The sequence below is a fragment of the Homo sapiens genome, chromosome 2, assembly GCF_000001405.40.
Source record: "Homo sapiens chromosome 2, GRCh38.p14 Primary Assembly".
NCBI lineage: Eukaryota > Metazoa > Chordata > Mammalia > Primates > Hominidae > Homo > Homo sapiens.
This window is the reverse complement of record NC_000002.12, coordinates 164730757-164753666: the sequence shown is the minus strand read 5'-3', so window position 1 is coordinate 164753666 and position 22910 is coordinate 164730757. Positions and strand designations below refer to the sequence as shown.

Here is a 22910-nt window from a genome sequence, read left to right as displayed (position 1 = left end):
CAAATTAAAACTAAATAAACTAAAACTGTAGTCCCTCAGTCACACTAATTATGCTTCAAGTGCTCAGTAGCTACATGGCCGCCATATTGGACAGCAGAGTCCTAGAAGTTTTGCTGCAAAAGAAAGGCGGGTAATGACAAGGTACTTGAAAGAGTACTTGGAAGAAGCAGGCAAGTCGTATTTAAGATAATAGAAATCTCTGCATTTTTTTTTTTTGTTTGTGCACCTTGGAGAGAGAGATTTAAGGTGGCAGAAACATGGGATGTAATTGATGGGACTATGGATTATTGGTCAGACTTAAGTGGAGGTGCTATGGGGGCAGAAAGCCTGAAGTGATGAATGGCTTGTGGTAGGGACTTGGTATTCCAGGTGTTGAAATGTAAAATAATTGAGTGTGGGAGACTGAAACAAGAGCTTTTCAAAATTTTCTTTTGGGTTTGCCATTCCCTTTATCATTTTTTCCTAGTGTGAATGCCAAGAGAGAGAAAAGCACTTGGAAATGGATCCCATTTTCCAGGCTTCTGTTTCCTGTGAGCCTCAGAGGAGACCCTTTCCTGACCAGGAGCAGAAGTGTTCTCAGCATAGGAAGAACTCCCTGGGAATGGGCGTCCTGTCCATGTGACTCTTTCAACCAAATGCTACTTGTAAATTAGTGCAGCCACTGTGCCCTGCCTTGACCCTAGTCCTAACTATCTTGTCTCCATTTCCAGTTTCTAAACAAAATTGTGCATAAATATTTTATGTCAGAGGTAAAGGGGCATGGGATCATCTTGTTCAATACCTGTATTTTGTAAATGAGAAAATGGAAGGCCAGAGAAATTAAGTGATTTACTTACGGTAACACAAGTGGCCATTTAGGATACTCCCAGGCCTTTTGATGTCCAGTATATTGTTTCTCCAACCTCACCTGGGGAAGTAGCTGTCTCAGTGGTAGGGCTGGGGTATGGGTACATCTGGTATCTGCCTTCCTGTTTAAATGTTGAGGCTTATGGCCCTTGCTAGGGTTATTGGGTAGTGGGGAGTGGATTTGGTGGGTTTTCATTTGTAGTTGTCCCATGCTCTCTGTGCTTTTGGGCAAATTTCTTAAACCTCTGTAAACCCCAACTAAATGGCAGTGGTAACTGCCTCATAAGATTAAACGTAGACAAAAAGCACCTGTACAGGACTTAGAAGATATTCAATAACCACATATTTTTTTCTCCTTCACTACCTGGCTTTTGCTCATTCACTTGTTGTTTTTGTTTATTTTGATGAATGTTTAAGATCTCAAAGAAATGATGTAATGTGGTAGTAAAGAGCACCAACTTCAGAATCAGACACCTTGGGTTTAAATTTCAGCTCCACCACTTACTGGCTAAGGAACCTTAGGCAAGTTCCTTAATCTGTCTGCATGTCACCCTCATCTGGAATGTGGAGGTGGCAGCACTTGCTTCATATAGTGTAGTAAGGACACGAGTTAGTGCAGGTAAAAAACATTTTCTAACACACAGTCAACACTCAAGGATTAGCTGCTGTTGATACTGGATAGAAACTACTTTTTCTTGTGTTCTGTTTGGCTTTTACTGTTGGGACATGACACTAGCATTCCATATGTGCTTCTTTGATGTGAATATGCCACTGCCTCTTTGCTTGGTACATTATACCAAGTATAACTGAAAGTTGAGTCCCATTCCTAAAAATGAAAAATTAGATTATTCTTTTCTGATATTAATCATAATTCTCATTGGTCAAAGGAAGCTACAGATTTGAGTCCTGTCCCACAGATTACATGGCTTCAGGCAAATTACCGAGCGTCTGGGCAAAATGAGGGAGTCTTCATACAATCTAAAATTTTGTCAGTCCCAATTTAATCCCTTCCCCAAATAGGAAAACCATTTAGAAACTTCCTGAGGATTGAGATCTTTTATCCATGTGCATGTCTTTGGGGCTTATTTAAACACTGGGAGTTATTTGGGTGGCCTTTGCTAGGGTTATTGGCGGGGGGATTTGGTGGGTTTTCATTTGTAATTGTCCCATGTTCTATGCGCTTTGGGGCAAATTTCTTAAACCTCTGTAAACCCCAGCTAAATGGCAGTGGCAATGGCCTCATAAGATTAAATGTAGACCAAAAGCACCTTTAAAGGACTTAGCAGTAGATATTCATGAATGACTTGAATGACTTCTTATACCTCTGGCTACAGAACAGGTTGACTCTCAGCAACCCACCAAGTTTTTGCTCTCCTATGAACTGATGAAACTAATATGACCTTCCCTCCCTTCCTTCCTCAACTAAATAAAAAAAAATGCTCATAGAGAACCCCATCTTGTGCCAGTTATAGTTCTAGGTGCCAGCAGAGAATGAGACAGGCCACGTCCCAGCCCTCCAGGAATTTTTATTCTGGGGTCAAATAAAAAACAAGGAAATAAGTAAATAAGCAGGATGATTTCAGATAGTGATAAATGTGATGGGGACCAAGCAGGGCTATGTGAAGAGTGGGCCACGATGGGTGGGGTGTGCCTTGGTACCTTTTTTGAGTGGTTAGAGAATACCTCTAAGAGGAGGAAATATTTTATCTGAATTCTGAATGACCTCAAGGAGCAGGCAATTTGAAGTTTTCTGGTTAAAAGCATTTTGGACCGAGGGCAAAGCTATGGAAGGCTCTTGGATGTGAAGAGACTGGGTCTATTTCAGGAAAGAATGCCAGTGTGAATTACATGGGGCATTGAAACTGGGAGTAACAAGAGGGGCGCTGAGGTTGTCTCATTGGTTCTCAGACTTTAGCATACATCAGAATCACTTGGAGAGTTGTCAAATGTGGATTGTAAGGCCCTGCCCTTAATGTTTCTGATTATGTCTGTCTCAGGGGTGCGGCAGCCAAGTACTATGGCTGCTGCTCTGAAACCATACTTTGAGAACCACCAGGCTAGCTCATTTGGGGCCTGCAAGCCAAGGAAAAGAATTTGGGTTCATCAATGCATTGGAAGGCCAGTGAAGGATTAGAGAGATGTGATCTGATTTATGTCTTCTTTCTTGTTTTTCTCCCCCACTGACCTAATGGCATACATATTTAAAAGTTCACTCTGACTACTACAGGGGAGAATAGATTTTAAGGGACAAGAGGAGAAACAGGAGAGACCAGTGAAAAGGCTTTTGAAGCAGTTTGGGCAAGAAAAGATGATGCCTTGATTACCAGGGTGGTAGCAGGGAGCTGGTGAAAAGTATAGAAGTTCAGGATATGTTTTAGAGTTTAGATCCCAGGGGAATTGTTAACAGATTGGAAATAGGAGATAAAGGACAGAGAGGAATTAAAGTATGCCTGCTGGAGTTTTTTTGCTTGAGTTAACTGGGTGGTTAGTGGAGCCATTTGTAGAGATGGGGAATAATATAGAGTAGGTTTGTGTGAGAATGAGGATTAGAGATGAAGAGGAGAATCAAGTTTTGGTTATAGAACATTTGAGATACCTATGGGACATCCAAATGGAGATAACCATGAGATTGTTGGGAATAAAAGTCAGAGCTCAATAAACAAGTCAGGTTGGAGATGTAAATTTGACGGCCACTGACATATAGTGATATTTGAAGCCATGGGCTTTTATGAAGTCTCTTGGAGGTGGAGGTTGTAGAAAGAAGAGAAAAAGGCAGAGAATGGACCCTGGGTTGCCCCAACATTTAGAAATCAGAGGAGGTGAGGATGGGGAGACTGAGGAGTGGCAGTGAAGAAGGAAGAAACAGTAGATTGTGTGCCCACATGAAGAAGCCAAGGGAAGACAATCCCTCACAGAGGACTTGAGTGGCTGTGAAATAGTGCTCAGTGTGACCAAGATGAGACAGACAGTTGTCTATGATTTGGACCCTCATAGGTTATTGGCAACCTTGAGAAAAAAAAAATGTAATATGAGAGTCATATAATGTTTTGGGTTTCTCCTTGTCGATTTTCATTATTGCATATCTTTTCAAGCCCTTTTGACATACTCACTATTTGAAATTAGGCTCATCAAGAAAAAAGGGCTTTATTGTTTTTAATTGTATTCTCTTGAGCACATAATACAATGTTATGCCCACTTCTGAACAAATCTTGTTTAAAAAATTCTTCTGTTGTTTCATTAAACCCAGACAGAGAAACTGAGAAATCGTGTTGAGAAATTGGTCTTCAATTTATAATTGAAATACATACTTTAGTGGCCATCAAAACACTGCCAGTTATTTTGAAGGACTGCCTCATCAACACTTACCACAATAAATCCTATCTATGTTTGATTGCCCTCTTTGTGCTGAGAGAGGGTTACTGTTAAATTTATTTTTGGTCTTTAGACTGCAATACTTAAAAACCCTATTGTTTTAAGACTGAGAATTCACTCATATTTTTGTATTTAATATTGAAGCCATATTTTTTGTATAGCACTTTTCTGAATGAATCTATAAGAATACTTTATAAATATGATAAATACAGCAAACTGATGAGAGCCCATTGGAGTTGAGTAGCTTATTAAGGATGTAAGTATATCTCATACAGCATTTTAAACCTTTGCTTTTTCAAATCAAGACTAGAATTATGTTTTGCTGAGCTCTTTTATTTCCTCTTTTTATCTATTTTAAGGATATTATATTGACAGTAATGGAGTAATGATTACAGTGGGCACATGATTTTGGAGTGCCCTGTAAATCAAAATGATAAAAAGACCAATCAGCAGTAATAGTAGGACACTAATTGAATTCGGTGTTAAAATGAGATTATGATATTATCAAAATATATTATTGAATAATGCAAATTTTGCCTTAATTCTCATTATTAAAATTGAGTATAATATTGAGATAATTTTAATAAAGCAATGATTTGCATAAGCAATAATTTACTGTAGCTTGTTATTTTTAAGCTTGAATAATGAATTTTTGCCCTGATGTGGGGGAGTTTTCTTATTATAAATATCTTTCCAGTATAACCTCCTCTCCACCTACCCTTATGTGAAATTTGCTGTTGTTTACTGTTAAGGGGAAAAGCCTCTAAAGAGTAGACTGATAGTCAAACAAGGCCACCGGTGAAGAAAAGCATATGTGAAAATCTATTTGATAAGAAAACTGGTTGAAACATTCCCGTTTAAAAGGGGTGAGGAGGCTTCAATGGCAGTTACTGTGATTTTTAAATATTTAAATATTTTAAAAACTTAGTATTCTTAAGTATAGTTGTTATTGAATGTTAATGTTACATTTTTCTCTTTAGTTTATATTATCAGAATTTCCTATATTTAGATGATAACACACATTTGATTATTTTCACTGTACTTTTAACTTTGGGTGACAATTTTGTTATTACTTCGGAGCCTCTGACCAAAAAATTAATGTTAGGAGAATGTGAGTAGGTAAAAGATATTTTCAAAATTTTGCTGGTGACTAAAAGGTCAAATAAGTTAAAGTCTTAAAGCTACTTAGGATTCAGGCCAAATCCAGGCTTCCATCTGGTATTCTTTTCACTAGACTGGACTATGTAGTAAGCAAACTGGATAAACACATTCCTAAATTTAATGTGTATGGATCACAATTGGGAACTAACATATAATTGACCCTACAGGCTCTGCTTATCAAAATTCTACTTTTCTTTCAAGACCTGAGTCTCTTGTCTTTTCTCTTTGAAGCATGCCTTGATCCTGCTCCCCACCACACACAGCTGGTCTCAGCTGGCTTTCACTGACCTAAATTTTCAAAGTTGCCATCTGTTTGATGACCCTTCTTTTTCGTTTTGTATTATGTAATTATGCATTGCATCTTCTCGGTTGTATTGCACATTCACTGTGGAAGGATCTTGGTCTTATTCACATTGCTTTCCATTTTTCAGGAACAAAAGTTACAAATACATTATTAAATTGAAATAACAACTGAGAACATTAGGATGTTTTTCCTAGAAGTCTAATGTAAATGCCCCAGTGTGGTGGCTCATGCCTGTGATCCCAGCACTTTGGGAGGCTGAGGTGGGAGGATTGCTTAAGTCAGGAGTTCAAGACCAGCCTGGCCAACATGGCAAAACCTGGTGTCTAGTAAAAATACAAAAATGAGCTGGGCATGTGCCTGTAGTCCCAGCTACCCAGGAGGCTAAGGCACAAGAATCGCTTGAACCTGGGAGATAGAGGATGCAGTGAGCTGAGATTGTTCCACTGCACTCCAGCCTAGGTGACAGAGCCAGACCCTGTCTTAAAAAAAAAGTTCTGTGTGAATGGTTTTTCAAGTAGCGCTTTGTCCTACTTTCCCCATCTTAAAAGAAATTGGCTTATGTATAGTGATTAGAGATGGATTTTCATCATAGATACAAACTACCTGAGGAAGTAAAACTGTCACACACAGACATCAAAACTGTGAGTGAGAGGAGTTCACTGCAGTGTGCAGTAGACAGGGAATGCTTCCCCAGAATTACAAAGTTGTCAGTTATCCCTTGCTAATAAATCCAGTGTGTATTTTTCATTCATCTTGTAAAAAATAAAACATAATCAGTTAATTTTAAAAAAAAAATCCCAGACAAGTAATCCTGAAATGAAAGCTCATTTTATTTTTTGGTGGTAAGGACTCTTTTCCTTCCCAGTTTTAGGCTTAGGTAGTGCATCTTCTGTGGAAAGTAGTCATTGAATTCACTCTTTCAGCAAGTATCAGTGCCTACTACATGGCAGGCATGGTCCCAGAGATTCTGTGTATTTGCAAATGTGTGGACAAGGTGGTAGAGACAAGTCCCTACTCTCATGGAATTAATTACCCTTTAACAGAAGGAGACATAAGTATGTTGCTCATTAACCCTGTGGCCAAAAGTAAAGCAGAGAGATGGGGGTGTTAAGGTCAGGAGCAGACTCTGTAGAGGGCCTGGTATTCTGGATGTGTTCAAGGAAAAGGCAAGAGTCCTGAGATTGGAATGCAGTGATCCTAGGGAGAAAGTGTTAGATAGGGGACTGGAGAGGCCGGAGGTAAGGGAGGAAGGAAGGACCTATTACAGATGGTCTCCTGCTTGCGATGGTTTGATGTATGATTTTTCAACTTTATTGTGGGTTTGTCAGAATGTAACCTCGTCATAAATTGAGGGACATCTGGATTTATGATGGTTTGAATTATGATTTTCTGATTCTGTGATGGGTTTATTGGGGGTATTTGGTACATTTTGACTGATATTTTCAATTTAGGGTGGATTTATCAGGTTGTAATCCCATCGTAAGTAGAGGAACATTTGTATAGCACTCCAGATCTTTTCTGGTTGAGGCAAGAAACCATTGGAGAATGTGAGAAGTGAGGCAGTGAGCTGACTTGTATTTTATTTTATTATTTTATTGACTTATTTTTCCACACATTCAGAGAAACTTCTCTAGTAATGAACTATAGAAATGACCCCTGAAAGTTTAGTCTTCTAACTTGTATTTTAAAAAGATCACTCTGGTTGTTTCGTTGAGACTAGATTATGAAGTGACAAGGTTGGGAGCAGGGACACCAGTTGGCAGCTTGAGCAGAGGTATTTGGTGATCCAGGTGGTTGGTGGATTCTGGGTCTATTTATGATATAGAGCTGGCGGAATTTGTAGATGGATTAGATGTATGTTTATGAGAACAAGGATTTTTGGTCTGGACAAATGAAAGAAATGTGATTGACTGAGATGGGAATACTTGGAGAGTCTTTTTAAAATTCATTTTTGTTGCTATTACCAAAGTTACTTTTTCTTTCATTGTACTTTCTGATGAGTTTTTGCTGATATTTAGGTAGGCTATTGACACTTTCATATATGAACTTTGTGCCAACCTACCTTACTGAGTTCTCTTACTTATAAAATGTTTCAGTCGATTCGCTGATTTCTCATCTCTTTTGACTTCTCTGTGCAATTTTACCAAACCATTTAATTCCAAAAATTACCATTTTCTTTTATGGTTCTATTAACTTTCCTCTGCCAAAAATATCAGTTATTTCTTGCCTTTTTCTGTGTGTTTCTATTCATTCTCCAAAACCCAGCTCATGTTTCCCATCTGTAAGACATTTCTGGATTCCTAAGAAAGTTGTGTTTTCTTCCTGTGACCCGCAGCTGCACCATCTGCATACCTGTGTTAGAGCAGTCATCAAACTTGATGGTAATTTTGCCTGCCTGTCAATCCTTTGGGGCGATGAACCCTTCAGGAATAGGAACTGAGTCTTACTCATCTTTACCTTTCCTGTGTTTAGCTGAATCTGCTCTGATAATTGTCTGTTATAAAATAAATATTTGTTATACATGAGTGGTTAATTTCCGCAGATTTAAAAATTGAAATTTGAAATTGGGGGGCATTCTTCTTTACAGGGATTTTCATAAGCTTTTATTCATTGTAACAGTTTTTTAAAATGTAGTTTTGTTGCTCTTGTAAAATAAGTCTTTTCTGAAGTACAATATGTTTCTATTATTATACCACTAAGAGTTAAGGGCTTGTTATTTTAGTAAATGAATGTACATTGTAGGAACCTTGCTTCAGTCTTTTCACGATGAGTCATATGTTAAAGGAGTTGGAGTTGTGAGACCTTAAATTTTGAAAATACCGAATAGGTGGATGTTATATATTTACTTATAAAGAAGCCTTTTGATCCTGTTTGGTTCTTATGTTTGCCTAGCAAGTAAGGATGGGAGGAATTGAAATCTGTATTTTTCTGAGTGGAAAGGAGTAGTATTCATTTTTCTAAAACCAATTAGCCTTTTATAAAGGTAATAGTTTCAAAAACTTTAATTCACAGTGTTTTAAATAAAACCATAAATATGTCATTACTTATAGTTTATTTTCATATTTTATTTTTTCAATCCATCAAATCATTGGATTGGCCTATGTAAGTTCAGAATGTCTACTATTTCTGTTATAAGTTAGTTAAGAGGTTGTCTTAGTGATGCAAAAATATTTATTAGAAAATTATTAGTAATGTTTTTCATTGAAGCAGATATATTATTTATCAAACAACCCATCATAGTTCATTGCTAGGTACAGTGGGAAATAGCCATCTATGTGCAGTGGGAAATACAGCCATCCATACCATGCGGCTTTCTTGCTTTCATTCTTTGAGATAGGGTCTCACCATGTTGCGCAGGCTGGACTCAAACTCCTGGACTCAATGGATCCCCCCACCTGTCTGCCGAGTAACTGGAATCTCTGCTGTGTGCCACCACATCTGGCTAGCATGCTTCATGCTTCTTTTTTGCAGGGAGTTATAAATGTAGGTAGAGAGTTGAAACTGGTACCCCCCAAAAGATCTAAAAAGTTACATCTATGGAATTGGTATGTGCTATATCAATTCAAAGAAGGAAGAAATTCTGTGGAAGGGGTAGTTTGGGGCAAACAGGGTGAATTTAACTAGTCTCTGAAGGATAAGGTAGGGTTTGTCTGAATCGAGAGGTGGAACATACTACATCGGAAACAAATAGGATGAAGGGCCCAAAGGTAAGAGTTACTGTGAAATGAGAGTGAGATACTGATCTCTATCCTGAAACATTAAGGATTTTTGTAATTTATCTAATCAAAGAAAATACATTTTCCTCTTGACTTGCTATAGTGAACACACAGTAACTAAATTTAATAGAGGCCAATATAAAATTTCTTTATCATGTTTCTTTTTATGTCCAAGTAATGTAGGCATAGTACTCAAAACAAAACAAAATGCTGACTGGAAAAGGAAAACAAAATCCTAATTCGACCATCCAACACTAACAGTTAACATTGTAGAACATTTTTTCTAGATGTGAAAAACCACTACTAGATCATATTTATAAAAATACATCATATTAAAAAGTTACCTTAAAAATAAAATATTTTGTATTTTTTGTGTTTTCTTTATATTTTAGGAGAAAACCAAAAGCCAAGGCACCACTTCCTCCAGCTGAGACCAAATATACTGATGTCTCTTCAGCTGCTGATTCTGTAGAATCCACTGCTTTCATCATGGAACAGAAAGAAAACATGATAGATAAAGACGTTGAACTCTCAGTGGTCCTACCTGGGGATATTATCAAATCTACTACTGTTCATGGCAGGTACGCTGGAGTAAATGAAATATCAGGACCTCCCCTTCTTATTCCACCATTGAAAGTCTCTGTGATATACGTCTTGATGTTTGTTCTTTGACAAAACACTTCATTTATCACTCAGTTTAGTTACCTGTTAAAAAAAAAGACTGCTAAAATGGTGTTAAAAATTTTCTATCAATGTTTTAATATCAGTGCTATGAATTCCACAAACCCAATTAAATGACTCTTGAAATTTGGAACCCTTTCATATCTCGTTAGTTATTTAACAAGTTTTTAAAAATAAGCCTTTCCTGGAGGAATGGCCATTAGTTATATTGATTTTGTAAACCAAACTTACAAAACAAGCCCAGTGACCCACAGGAAAATCCTATCCTTTTCTTCTCAAATTGTTCTTCCCACTTTAAGCTGCTTCTTTAAGTTTACAAAACTCTTAATTTTAAGAGTTTTATTACTCTTAAAATGTAATACTTTTGTATGTATCAAAACAGTTAAATCTGTCTGTAAATTAATTGGCAGTTTTTTTATTTCATTGAATGATTTAATTACTTTATTTAAAATGTGGGTGAGTTAAGTAGAAAAGTAAAATCAAACTTTATCCCAGCAAAAAGGAAAGATGTGATTTAGAAGACTGGTATTTTTAAATACCTTTGCGAAAATTGGAAAAATGGAAAAAAGCCAAGTGTAATTTTCCATTTCACTTTGAAGTGGAAAGTTACATGAACTATAGACTTGGTCTTGTTCTTTCACCTTCAACTGCCTATTTGTTATCAGGAATCCTGTTTTAGAAATTTAAGCTGTTTTGACCTTAGCTCGCTCGCTCGCTCTCTCTCTCTCTTTCTCTGTGTGTGTGTGTTGTGTATAAGGAAAAGAATATATTGGGTATTGCATTCTTATAATCTGGTTTTGTCTAGAAAAACTCATTCAAGGTAACCTTAATTTTAAGATTTATCATTAAAATCATGTGTAACTTTACAGATTATTTAAAGTAGATGAAAACAAAATAGTTCAGCTTTAGCAAATAATATAGTATTATTTAACTCTGATTAAATTTGAGGAAGTTGCATTTTGCCATTTATTTTGTATTGAAAGTCACTTTGGAGATCACACATTGAACCCTATTTATGAGATTGAGAAAATTGTCTGTGGTAGGCTCCCACCTGCAGCTGTGGATGGCCTCGTATGTGTGAGAAAGACATCTTGAAAGTTAGAGACAATGGCCATTATCATCAATTCTTGAAATAATATTACTCTGGTTTTAAAGGGTTAATGGATCTGGCTGGGGGTAATAAAGGCAATTCCTTTTTTATTTTTTTTTAATTTTTCCTGAATTCAAAATAAGAAAAAAAAAGTCAACTTTTTTTCTAGTTCTTCAGGGTTTCAGGTGATGTTGGTTTCATCACAAATACTCTTGAAAATTTCTTCTTAGGGATGTAACAGTCATCTCTTCATATTGCCTTATTCTCTGTTTGCTATCATTGCACCTCTGGGTTCTTCAGATTTTGTTTTTTAAACCTCAGTGACTTTAATATCAGAAGCGTGTTTTTTCTCTCCGTCCTGTCACCCGTCATAGTTATTTTAGACTTTTCCACATGCCACCCCGAGTTAACTTTTCTTCTGTTTCCTCAACTCTGGAAACCGAGATCCATGGTCAACTTTCCTGTTTCCACCAGAGAATGGTGGAATCTCATCACTTTAAAACGGTTCCATTTCTGAGATCTTAGGGTTCCTTATTTGAATACCAGCTTTTTAAACATCTAGCTTATCCACTTTCTCTTTAACTGAATTAGTTCTTCATCCTCCTCAAGTCTAATTTATGACTGTTCTGTAGGATGCTGCAATTTTCTTCATGTCTAAATTTTCTTCATATGTATTTTTTCTTCATACCTGATAGATTCTGCATCAGATATTTCACCTACATTTGTACTTACAAGCACCCTAGATTTTTCCCACCCTCCCTCCAGCATGTTTGCCCCCTCAGGTCCCTAAATCTGAGTAACTTTCCATCAGTCAGCTTTATGTTTCTGGGCCACCAACTGTTGTTGAATTGCTGCAGTTTTTTAAATCTATGAAAATGTATTATAGCCGAATTGATAGGATTAAATATGATTAAATGAAATACTATCAGGGCTTGGCGCCTATTGGCTTTCTCTCTTTTTTTTTTTTTTAATTGGGAACTGCTTTTCTTAACCCTGGGCTCTCTTCATTTACCTTGCACCCTCAGATTAATCTAAAATGCCTCTCTGTTTGTGGTACTACCTTTGATAAAAGACTGCAGGACAGCAATTCAATGTCAAATTAAAGGAGTCCAAACTACCTAGCCTGGAGATTGGGATACCTTATTTTCTCCTCCAAAATTAAGTAGGCTTTTCCTTCACCACCACTCTCCTTCCTTTGTGTATCTTTTTTTTGTTTGTTTTTTGAGACAGTCTTGCTCTGTTGCGCAGGCTGGAGTGCATTGGCGGGATCTTGGCTCACGGCAACCTCCACCTCCCGGGTTCAAGCAATTCTCCTGCCCCAGTGTCCCAAGTAGCTGGGATTACAGATGAACACCACCATGCCCAGCTAATTTTTGTATTTTTAGAAGAGATGGGATTTCACCATATTGGCCAGGCTGGTCTCGAACTCCTGACCTCAGGTGATCCACCCACCTCAGCCTCCCAAAGTGCTGAGATTACAGACATGAGCCACTGTGCCTGGCCCTTCTTTGTGTATCTTAAGCTTCACCACATGCCTCTTGCTCTTCCTTTGTTCTTCTACAAATACTCTATTTCTTTCACCTCAATACGTTTATGAACTTTTCCCCCCCTCGTGTAACTCACTAGCCTCATTTTCTCCAGTTAGTTTATATAGCTCAGGTGACATATTTTATATAAAGGCTCCCTGATCTCCCCAGAATCAGTGATTAACTCTGGCTTCCAAAATCTTCCGACACTTTATATCATATTTATTACATATTGTTCTATGCTGCAATGTATGTGTAGGTCTTACCTTTTGAAGAAACCACAGAGCCATGAGAATATCATTACTTTTCTTTATAGTGCCTAGCACAGTTTCTTGCAATGTGGTAGGCATTTCATGAATTTATCAAAATGAATATTGTCTTCCTAAACCCTTATGTGTAGATGGAGGTAGCAACATAAATGGTATGAAGAAGCACTTGGAATGAGTCCTAGTTGTTTACCCAGAATCTTTTAAGTAAAGATATTTTCTCCAGGCAGAGAGCAAGGTAGGAATGGAATGCCCCAAATTCTGATTCCTTTTTAAATTTTGTTTAGGGCTGAAGAGTTTTTCTGAGAGTAGAATTTATATCAGTGTTTTTGTTTGTTTGTTTGTTTAGATGGGGTTTCAGTCACACAGGCTGGAGTGCAGTGGTAAGAGCTGGACTCACTGCAGCTTCTGCCTCCCAGACTCAAGCAATCTTCCCACCCCAGCCTCCCAAGTAGCTAGGACCACAGGCGTGTGCTACCATGCCCAGCTAATTCTTGTATTTTTTGTAGAGATGGGATTTCCCCATGTTGCCCAGCATGTATATCAGTGTTTTTACTATGGGGTTTCATTTAGGGACTTTGTTCGCAGTAGTTTTATAATTCAGGCATGACTCATTGATGCTATGACTAATTTTCTATTTTAAGTGTTTGTGATTTAAAGTAGTTGTGTGATTCTGAATATCTTAGGAGTGTGATTCTGGGATATCTTAATGCGATCCAAGATGTTTTAGAGTTTGACTTGATATATCTTAAAAGTGTGACTTGGGATATCTTAATAGTGTGATTAGGGATGTCTTGAGTGTCACAGCTGCTGCTGACCCATTGTTTCACAAAACTGTTTAACAACAAAAAGAAATGTTCAAATAGAAAATTATGTACTACTACTGAAAAATGTTAACTACCTAATGGGAAGACTCATAATGACAAAAATAAAATTTCTTCATGGCTTTGTTACTACCATATAAAAGGAATATGAAAAATCTCAACAGAATAATACAAGAATTTGGTGGAGGTAATTTTAAGTGTGTGAGAGTTTCTTAGATAAATAGAGTTCTATATGTAACTCTGAAAAGACTTCAATGCAGTTTTTTGAGACCATGCTTTCTGAATTTGTCTGAATATTTCTTGTATATTTATTTTGATAGTGTAGTACTATTTCTTATGCCTTTATTGTGAAGAATACTATCAATGTTTGACGGAAGTACAGATTTCAGAAACTTATATGCCTCAGTTCACTTTTCAGAAATAAGTTTCCCACTCAAAATGTGTTCTTGGGGAATATTTTTGGAAAGTCCCCCCATAGATCTCATGCACAGGTGGGCTCAGGATGTTCTATTTTGGGGAATGTGAGTGCACAGTGGTATCTTCAGAAGAACGCACTTGTTTGTACATTGATTTTCACCAAAGAGCTTGTTCAGATTAGGAAACACAGTGGGGTTGGCGGTGGTCACAGACTTTATGCTCAGGGAGAAACTTATTATCCTGAATTAGGTTGGTAGCCATCTGCCAGCTCAACTATTTTTGGTACCAGAACTTAGTGATGCCATCTCTTTAATGACCAAAAGTCACCATGTCTCTACTATCTTGCCTTTGTGAGGCTCTGCTTACATTGGGCGGGGGTTGCCATGCTAACCTGAAAACTCTTGGGCATTTCTGCATATCCTAATATCATGGATGGTTGGACTGAAAGAAGGAGGAATTAAAATATTTAATTTATATATAAGATACAGTGTAGTATAGATGTATGTGTGTGTATGTCTATGTGTATGTATGTATATATGTTTGCACACATATATAAATGTGTGCGTCTGTGTATAGACTGTGTATACCAAATCCAAAATCTCAAATGCTTCAAATTCCAAAACTTTTTGAGTGTGAATATGATGCTCAAAGGAAATGTTTATTGGAGCATTTCAAATTTTGGATTTCCAGATTAGAGATGCTCAACTCGTGTAATGCAAATACTTCAAAATCTGAAAAAAAATGTGAAATGTAAAACACTTCATGCCTTAAGAATGTTGGATGAGGGATACTCAACCTGTTTCTGTGTGTCTGTGTATCATGTATATAATCGATAAACATCTTTTTCACCAGTCAAAGCAGTTCCTTGCCTTTCTAGAAATGAACATTAAAGGACTACTGTTACAGAACTCGTGGCTCTTCTTCTCAGAAAATGCTATACTTCACAACAGCATAAGCAGTGGTGTCTGCTAGTACTTGGGAAAAGTTAATTTTTAATGAAAGTGAGCTTATAGACTAAACAGATATAGAAACCACATAGAATAAGGAAATATGTGGGTACATTTGTATATGATCTGTATATGGTCTTCATCTTATAGTCGGGTATCAGCTTCATAGGTAATTATTCCTCATTGAATAAGTATTAGTTCCTTTTTCCTCTTTTCCCTTTCTCCAGGCTAAACTTTTAAAGCAAAATGTTCATTTTGGGAAATCTGAAAAGATTGACACGAATCCTTCTTAGCCTGTTGAGAGAGCATTCAATGGCATGCTATCACACTTTCCTACAAGAGGGAGGAAGAAATAAGCACCATTTATAACAGAGGAAGATATTTCTTTTACGCCCTTACCACAAATAGGAATTTGTTTTGATTGGAGCACATGTGAGATGTCATAATTGAAAACACAAAGAAAGCACAGAACTCCAAGCTAGAAGTCCCAACTAGAAGTTACAGTTTGTTCTAGACTTGCTGTGTGATCTCAAGCAAGTCACCTCACCTCTCTGGGCTTTTCACATAAAATAACCCAGAGACATGTCGCACATGCTTTTCAGCCTGATTTACCTGTCCCATAGCACCAGTTTACAGCAGAGTTGAGCCTAAGCCCGCGGTTTTGCCTGGCATAGGGTTGGTCCGCTGAGGAACTCGGGAGCATTTTACATGGATTACAGCGCCACCTATTGGGAAAAAGTAGACTATGAAAAATGACAAGATAAAGGGATCGGTGTGGGATTTTTGCTGAAAAAACGAGAGTAACAACAGTATGGATCTAGAAAAATTTCTGAAGTTCACGTCATATTTATATTTATTGAGAAGTGTCCAGTGATGACAAATGTGTGATAAATATATGTTTATAGCAGGGTAATTTTTTTTTAACTGTCAAAAATCTATAGGGTGGTACAAACCATGTTTAACTATATAAGATGCTTAAATTTTGGTTTAGATCCTTATTCTGCTGTAATTGCCTAAAACAAAAGTTGGCATTTTAACTGTGCAAGTACCTAGACATAACAGTACTACTTGAGTTTTTAATCGGTACTATTTGAGTTTTTAATCATCCTGTCATCTAGGTTCTGTCATTGCCCTCCCATGTCCCCCATGGCTCTGAGCCCAGGAGAATGTCAGCCTCTGTCACCTGCCTGCTCCCCTGGTTGGGAAAGGGGTGACAAAGTATTCACAAATGTCCTCAGAACATTGTTCCTGGCAGGGCCACCCTCTTCCCTTTGCTTTCCTGGCGTCTACACCTTATAATAATGACCCTTTTTAATTTCAGTTTTTTAACTTAATTTAATTTTTAAATTTTTCTAGAGACAGGGTCTCACTCCATTGCCCAGGCTGGAGTGCAGTGGTGTAATCATAGCTCACTGCAGCCTCAAACTCTGGGCTCAAGTGATTGTCCTGCCTTGGCCTCCCAAAGTGCTGGGATTACAGATGTGAGCCACCGTGCTCAGCACTAATTTTAGTTTTTAAATTTTTGTGATTACAAGTGCAATAGTTAGATGTTTTAGAAAGTTGGAAAATACAGATAAGCCAAAAAATTGTAAATGCAATTTCATTAAGCAGGCAGATTGCAACTTCTAACATTGCAGTGTCTAGCCTTTTATTCTTAGGCATGCACATATATGTACACCCATCTATATGTGCACTTCTTTTTTACAACAATATGGTATTATATTGTACGTGCTATTTGTAACCTGCTTTTTTTCAGTTAATGATTTCCATCTTTCATGTCAATAAAATGTTATCCTTTGTCTATATTCAAATTGCCCCAATTATAGTGAGATATATTTGTAGTATTTTTGTTTTTATAAGGGGCATGTATGTGTGTTTAGTAGGTGTGTTCTTAAATCACAATTTTTATGATGGTAATTATTTATAATTAGCTCTGAGTATAACACCTAAGATAAACAACCAGATAGAGTCCAAAGTGGTGACTTTCTAAAAATTGTGGGGCTTTTTACATTTAGTAATATCTATTTTTAGTATGTTAAGAACTTATCAGCTTAGTAATCTGACCTATTACTATTTATCTTCAAATCTTAATTTCATGTGTTATTTTCTTCAAAATATTTCTTATAGCATAATAAGCATTCTCAATTTTGAGAATGGGTCTATTTGTTTCGTGTACCTGGTACATTTCATTTCTTGCACACACAGAGAGAGCACTGCTTCATTCCTGAACTCATTACTGAACTACATGGGTTAGCATAAGATTGATAAACATCAGCAGCAATAGAGAATGTTTTAAAATTTCTGTACTATTACTGGTATGTGTAATTGGGTTGTTGGTGTGCACTTACAAGGTACAGATATGAAACTAATCCAGGGAATTGTTATTTATTTCTGAAAGAAGTGGGAAATCTCATAGGGATTTCTTCATTTCAAAGAAGAGCTTTTAGAGTCTTAAAAAAAAATCAGCCCTCTAGAAAATTATTATATTATCTTACAAGAGAAAAAATTCTGTAAATAATGTTAATGCAAAGCAGACTCTGCTGAGTAATAAAATAACCCAAAATTCAATGTGGTGTAATAATATAGAGGAGTGATTATAATGTTCATCCAATCCTTTTCCACTTTTAATGATTTGCCTCAGGTTTTAGATGGACTGCTCACGTGTGCTCCTGCCTTAGGAAACAGGAAGACAGGCATCTTTTCTGTGGTGATCCTGTGGTCAAACCCATTAGCCAACTGCCTTCAGGTGCATCAACTAGGGGATGATTATCCAACCAGAATTGTTATCTTTGGCAGAAGTAGTTTGGCATCCAGGTGGATAATTCTGAGCTCTATTCAAGCGATTATTTTATTTCCTGTGGGTGCACTTTGTGACTAGTTAACCCCAGCGGCAGCTCCATTGGAAGCACGACCTGCTTAAAAGTTAATGTCCTACTTTTGTAGTGTTATGACTCCTTTATGGTAAAGCTAGACAGTCAGTAATTCCCAACCTCAAAATCTTGTGGTCAGGGTCAGCTTTCCTGTGTTACAGTGCTGAATGCTGAGGCTTCAATTAAATATTTAAAGCATTCAAACTAGTCTGAGTCTATTTTTGGAAAAGATCTTAACCCTATTTAATGTTTATGTCTCACCTTTGTGTAAAGATGGTATGGCTTAGGCAAAACAAGCTTATTAATTATAAAAAACAACAGAGCTTTCACCATGTTACTTTTTTCTAAAGCATATGAACCTCCTCTCAACAAGTATGCTTTCTCATGTGTCAGTTGTATTAGTCTACTATGCATTTGAGCCCCTTGACTTTCAAGCAGAATTAATCACTGTTTTCTCTAAATTCCCCATTCGACAACAGCGACCTAGCCAGGTGCCTAAAGATTACTAAGATGTGGTCCTGCTAGAGGGGAGCTCACATCTATGTACACACAGAACCCAGTTAACTTCTTGAGGTCACTCTGCTGCTTAAGATCTAAGTAAGGCTGGCCTGAACCCCTGTTCCACTTCCTGTGGAAGGTTCAATGCCCTTTATAATCTCATTGTAAACTCCCAAGAGTTTTACGTTCTTGGGGTCACCTCTGGCTCTGACTTTATGCCTTACCACCTCTGGATTCATATTTTTCAGTTTCTGCTTTTGAAATTTCATCCTTTATTTGACACCTCCCAAGGCTACCAGAACCTTAGTGATGGCTTGTAGAGTTATAGTAAGCACATCACATAGCAAACCATTGAAATTTGCATTTTAGGTCTCCTGTTGGTTACTTTCAGCAACACTGCCACTTTGTCCCTCCAATCCTGCCCTCTTTCCACTGGCTAGCTCCTCTTTCTGTCTCTGTCTCCTTTCTGCATTAGCTTCAATCCTATCAGCTCCCTACAAAATGTATCTAGAATCTGAGTAGTCCAGGACACCACCATCTCCCACCTAAATTTTCGCAATAACCTTGTAGCTGCTCCTCCAGGCTATTTTGAATACAAAAACCAGAATGTAATCCTTTTAAAAAGTAGAGTAGATCACATCACTCCTCAGAACTCTTTGGAGGCTTTCTGTCTCACTCAGTAAAATCTCAAGTCTTCACTTGAAAGGCCTTTAAACACTACAAGATTATCACCCTGATTTCATGCCTATTGTTTTCACTAGCCGACTAGTTTCTGTTTTTCTTTAAACACTTAGAGCACATTCCTGCCTCAGGGTTTTTGTACTTGTCAAAGCTATCTTTCCGCAGATATCCCAGTCCCTTCAAGGTCTCAATTCTGGTGTCATTTTTCAATTAGGACATTCCTAACTTCTTTCCTTATTTTTTTTTTTTTTGTCAGAGCATGTAACACCATCTGATATTTTATATATTTTACTTGTTTCTTTTTTCTCTTCTCTCTAGATCAGTTTCATAAACTTCATAAACTACAGTATGATCAGAATAGGTTGGAGTGCCTGTCAAAGCACAGATTGCTCTTCCTCATTCCCAGAGTTTCTGATTAATGATCTGGGCTGGGGCTTGACAATTTGCATTTCTAACAAGTTCCCAGCAGATACTGATGCTGCTGGTCTATGTATCACACCTTGAGAACCAGCGTGTTAGAATTACTCTATCCAGTATGGCAGCCATTCACCAAATGTGTCTACTTATATTGAATTTAAATTAATTTGAATAAAAAATTTGGTTTGGGAGTCCACTATCCCAGTAACCACTGTGTTAGTGCAGATATAGAACGTTTCCATCAGTGCAGAAAATTCCATTGGGCATATTACTGTAAAACACAAACCATAGAAAGATCCACATGGAGCTTACTTTGGTGTAAGGAATCAGGTTAGATACACAACTTTTCTTTTTCATCCGATAGTTTTCCCAGTACCACTTACTGAAAATTCAGTTGTTTCCCCAGAAACAATTCATATGCAGTATTAAATTCACATATGTAGTTATGTCTATTGCAGAACTTTCTGGATTGCTGCATTTATTTGTCTGGCAATAGGAATATTTTCAAGACAAATTTGGCTTCTGAAATTATTGAATAAAGAATTGGACCTAGAATTATAAAATGAGAGAATAAACTCATAAAGAACTTCTGTGGTTTTCAGTTGCCTCTCAAAGAGGCATTTTTAGTAGAAAACATATAGGCAGTGTTGAGTGCAAAGGTCATGATATAGTCGGCAACTTTTTTCTCATGATATCTGATATAGTGTGTAAAGTTTCTAGATAAATAAAATGACTGAGGGAATAGGCCATTATGTTAATATTCTTAACCAATTACCCACACTATTTATTAGATTAGAAAATTAATTTATCACAGATAGAAATACCAATGTTTCTACACAAGGAATCAAATTGTTCTTTTTAAAAAAATCAAAAATGTATTTTAAATGTTTATATGTTTATACATAAACGATGAAAATTATGGCACAAAAATAGGGATAAAAACCAAACAAAACTTTAATAATTTTTTGTTTTGTGTTTTGTTTTGTTTTGTTTTTTGAGATGGAGTCTTTCTCTGTTACCCAGGCTGGAGTGCAGTGGCGTGATCTCGGCTCACTGCAAGCTCCGCTTCCCAGGTTCACGCTATTCTCCTGCCTCAGCCTCCCAAGTAGCTGGGACTACAGACACCTGCCACCATGCCTGGCTAATTTTTTGTATTTTTAGTAGAGATGGGGTTTCACCACGTTAGCCAGGATGGCCTTGATCTCCTGACGTCATGATCCGCCTGCCTCGGCCTCCCAAAGTGCTGGGATTACAGGCGTGAGCCACCGCACCCGGCCATTTGTCTTGTTAACTTATGTATTTCTGGCAAAGATTCAAAAAAACTGTATATTTAAGAAGTAAAAGATGTTGGAAGAATGAGCTTCAATGTTTTTACATTTATTACTTGACACATTTATATATAGAGAGAAAGAAATACAGTCTGCATGTATCATCATTTACTCATAGACAACAGCAGACAGCTACCCCTTCAGTTGGCAATGAAAGTTCTCTTCTCTTCCAGCTAAACTGCATTTATAATAGTATATAACTAGACATTACCTAATCCTTCTTAACTTTATTTACTATCAAAGAAAGTACTATTTCCAAGTCTAGAATTGGTATGTGCCATCCAATTGCTCTTGTAGAGTACCATATTACCAAAAAATCAACTTCCACAAGACCATTTTGCTAGTCTCTCTCTGGATGAAATTTAAAATGTCCTGTTTAAAGCCAAAACATGGGCAATATAGATACATTTATGGGCATAGCCTGTGGCTCAAAAGAAGGATGTAAAACTCTTAAATATTATGCAACCATCTAATAAAGACACAGGAAATGTATTTTGAGAATTGAAATGTATTCCTGAGAATTTTTTTTAAATTGAGGGACTTAGAACCTTTGATTTATTTATTTTTCTTTATATATATACAAGTAATAGGGTGCTACTTGTATGTGGGGGAGAAGGGATGTGTGAGGGACCGTTGAGAAACATACTCCTTATCCCATAAAGATTGGACTGGCCTAGGAGTAGGCAGCGACCACAGAAAGTAGAGATGGGGGCTGAACACGGGATGATCTGAAATCTATGTAACGTGTTGTTTGACTTCAAGACCACACAGTGTCCGACAGTGAATCCTTCCCCACCTCTGCAGGAGACTCCTTGTCTGGAAGAACTGCATCAGAGGCTGCAGGCCTGGGAGCTTACTAGGGGTGACGTGCCGTATGAAAACAGGTGCACTAAAATAAAAGTAGCATACTGAATGGTGGGATTTCTAGCCCCATTTCCCTGTCAAGTTCCCAAAAGCCAGTAACCAGGTTTATATCTCTAGTCAAGAAATTGGAGAATAACTTTTTACTGATATGTGCATTTCCCTTTCGAGGTGGGATGCAGATGGCTGGCTACCCGATTACCCTAAAGTGAATCCCATGAACCTATGCCTCCATCTGTAAAAATACGATGTACACACTGCGGTTTAGTGCCTTATTCTTAAGTGTGAACTAACAGTTTAGGATCACCTGACATTTGGGGAAAGCACATGATACCAAAGATTTTTTAGTGTGCTTTCCTTAAGGGATGACAGTATTAAGAAAGACTCAGAGACTATGTTGTTCTGTCAGTGATATGAATGAAAATATAAGTCTGTGTCAACAATGAGAATCTATGGAAAGGGAAGCAAAAAATTGGTAAGTATCCCTGAATTCCAAGTTGGGTATGAAAGTTTCTATAGAAATAAGTCCTGTATTACCAATAGTATTAAACATTCATTCATTATTTGAAATTATCTCATGCATTTACTTTATTTCAATTTTATGTTCTAGCACAAGAGCTGATAAGCGTTTTCTATCATGGGCCAGGAAATAAAAATAGTAGGCTTTGTGGGCTATGCCTATATAGTAGGTGTGGTCACCCTACTCCATTCTGCTGTTGTAACTAACACAAAAGCAGCCTGAGACGTTATATAAACAAACGGGCATGACTATTTTCTAATACAACTGTATTTACAAAAACAGACTGTGGGCCCATTTTGACCTGCACATTGTGGTTTGCTGACACTTGGTTTAGTTCATCCAGTAGAGTGTTAGATCTATGAGAACAGATATACTATAATACTTGTACTGTGATTCCAGTGCCTAGAGAATATTCATAACCTTTGGATGATTAAAGAATTTGTACTACACCTTTTAGGATTTTGTGGACTTCCTATGCAGATATTTACAGTCTGTTTTCTAAAGCCAAAAAGTGGTGGTGGTGGTTCCAAATGCTTCATTCTTATGAGAACTTTGTAACCAATTCATAAGCTAAAGACTGCCAAT

General features: G+C 37.3%; 1 protein-coding gene and 1 pseudogene across 10 annotated transcripts in view; one reads left to right on the top strand and one right to left on the bottom strand.

Moving 5' to 3' along the window:
* The window catches only part of COBLL1 (cordon-bleu WH2 repeat protein like 1), a 184146-nt gene that overhangs the window by 88410 nt on the left and 72826 nt on the right, over positions 1 to 22910 (top strand). For all 10 annotated transcript variants that reach the window (NM_001365671.1, NM_001365670.2, NM_001278460.2 and 7 more), the window contains one exon: positions 9792 to 9980. In NM_001365671.1, the coding sequence (NP_001352600.1) occupies positions 9792 to 9980 (189 nt within the window). The remainder of the gene's footprint in view (positions 1 to 9791; positions 9981 to 22910) is intronic.
* Positions 7278 to 7355, bottom strand: LOC124906197 (uncharacterized; annotated as a pseudogene).